The sequence below is a fragment of the Homo sapiens genome, chromosome 6, assembly GCF_000001405.40.
Source record: "Homo sapiens chromosome 6, GRCh38.p14 Primary Assembly".
NCBI classification, from domain to species: Eukaryota; Metazoa; Chordata; class Mammalia; order Primates; family Hominidae; genus Homo; species Homo sapiens.
The window spans coordinates 106,911,932-106,914,428 of NC_000006.12; the positions used below are offsets into that span (position 1 = coordinate 106,911,932).

Genomic DNA, 2,497 nt, shown 5'->3' on the forward strand with positions numbered 1-2,497 from the left:
ATCATGGCCAGGAACTCAGGTTTCAAGGTTTCTTTGCAGTCCCCTTGGCCAAGATGGGATTCATTCAGTTACTTGGGGGGGGGTGGGGGTGGGGCTTAGGTTTTATTTTTCTCAGTATTGAGAATTTTACCCATAGGGCTTTCTGAGGCAAAGCTTCCCATTTTGGTTCCATTGTTAAATGAAAGGTAAGAGATAGGAATTTGTCAGCAAAGAAAGGAAATTTGATGTCTTTTAAAAACAAAACATGGCATGAAGAAAGAATAACAAAATCAGAATTCCTCTGGAAATTCACTCCCATTGGCATATATACTGTTTATTTAGGGTGTTGCACAACATAAAGAGGATTTAGCACCTGGCAGGAAAGACTGAGTGTTCCAAAGATGGAGTAAACATAAGATCCTATAAAGAATTGCTAGTGAAAGACTCCATCTGCTTTCTTTGGCTGGAGTGACTGGTCACAAGGCAATTTTGAAGATGATTTTGAGTAGAAGAAGCCATATCCATGCACTGTTTGGTTTGGGGAGGGAGACCCAGGCCAGGGAAGAGGGGTTCAGCAAGTTCCAGGAGGTGAGGGCAGAAGCCCAGGAACTACACCATTCCACCCATGGCTCTGAAAACTTGGTAGAAGAAGCCCTCCATACTAACATGCACGAAGGCCCCAGCTCGCCTGCCCCAGCAATGCCAGCATCACCCTCCCTGCCCACCCGCTCTCTCACCTCGGCACTCTTACCAGGTTCTAGCACTGCTGCCTTGATGACTGCAGAGCTTCCAGCGGCCATCACAACAAAACCACAATCATTTTGCACCTAAGATGTAGAGCCTTGACCTTGGGGAGTCACAGAGATTACATTAAGAGATACAGAATGCAAGGAAATGCCCACTGGGGTTTAATCCTCTTGGGCTGCTCAAGTCCTGAGGTCTTCATAAAAGCAAGTTACTATGAAGATGGGAGGCAGCCACTGTCTGGCCTTGATTGTCCTCATGGGCCTCTGGAGTGGAAGATGAACCTTTAAAGGGGCTAAGTGCACACCATGAGGAAGAGAGTTTTAAGTGTTATACTGTGGGAGGAAAAGGCTGAACAGAAATTCAAAAGGCTCGTCTAAGTGCCATATTGAAAGAAAGTGAGAAAGCATAAGTCAGGGACCAGGAACAAGTAAGGCCTTGGGAACTTTCTGGAATCTTTTTAATTTCCTCATGTTTGCTTCTTCTATTATCTTCCTAGTATACTTTCCAGTAACACAACCTTTTCAAAATGCCTAAAGCAAAAAGGATCTGTGTGTTTGCTTTGGGAACAACAGTTAATCATGGGCTGGGGCAGCCTGAAAGAAGAAGGAAAACCTGAGGAACAGGGTGAGTCAGGAAGCTTTGGACAGGACACATAGTTGTCATAGAAGGAAGGAGAAGCAGCTGGGCCTGTTAGGTGACCCAGAAACTTAGTAATAAGGGAGTGGTTTCTCTGAAGTTTTTATTTTTATGCCCTTCTACAGTTTTGTATATTTCTATATAACCTATTTTTTGTTTATAATCTACTTTATTCCATAAAATATTTAAGTAGTCTATAGGATATAAGAAATATATTCAATAAAATATAAAGTCAAAAAAATGCAAAATGTTTTAAAAGGTTATGACCAGGAGAAAATTAGAACACGTGTTTGCATAAGGCCGTACTCTGTCACTAAACAGAGGCTCAGATTTGTCTCTGAACTTCCAGGCGCCTGAGACAGAACAGAAATCAGATACGTTACCCGAATCTCATTGTTCACTAGAAGACAAACAAACAATTGCTGAGGTAAAGTAAAAGATACTTATAGGACCTCACAGAGTGGTTGAAAAAAAAAAGTGACACCTCCACATTATCATCAAGAGGAAAGTTCACAAAGTTGTCTCTTACATGCTAAGAGGATGACTCAAGATGTAACTCAGAGTTTCTGTGGGAACTCTCCCCTCCTCACCTAACTAGAAAGCGGCAGAGCCAGATTTGGAACACAGGTCCTGTGACCTCAGCTCCTGTTTGCTTTGTACCTCCTTTCACCTAGCTGTTTCCTACTTCTCTTGCAGTCTCAATTTAAACTTCACTTCCTGAAAAAGACCTCTCTGGCCCTGGGCTGGACTAGGCCCCTGTTAGGTTCTCAGCACCCTGGGCCTTCTCTATCTTTCACACATCACATTCTTTGTTCTCATTTGTTTGATGTCTGTCTTTACCAACAGAATGAAAGCTCATGACAGGAGGGACCATCTGGTCATCTTTTTTTTTTTTTTGAGTCTCGCCCTGTCACCAGGCTGGAGTGCAGTAGCACGATCTCAACTCACTGCAACCTCCACCTCCTGGGTTCAAGCGATTCTCCTGCCTCAGCCTCCTGAGTAGCTGGGACTACAGGCATGCGCCACCACACCCAGCTAATTTTTTGTATTTTTAGTAGAGATGGGGTTTCACCATGTTGGCCAGGATGGTCTCGATCTCCTGATCTTGTGATCCGTCCACCTCAGCCTCCCAAAG

The 2,497-nt window shown here is 43.8% G+C and overlaps 1 annotated feature.

Annotated features, from left to right (window-relative positions):
* Nucleotides 1,834-1,903: an enhancer, noted in NCBI's record as "active region_24897". NCBI's record gives its function as "activates an Ori minimal core promoter by ATAC-STARR-seq in GM12878 lymphoblastoid cells {active_cell/tissue: GM12878}" and the evidence as "EXISTENCE:reporter gene assay evidence [ECO:0000049][PMID:35858748]".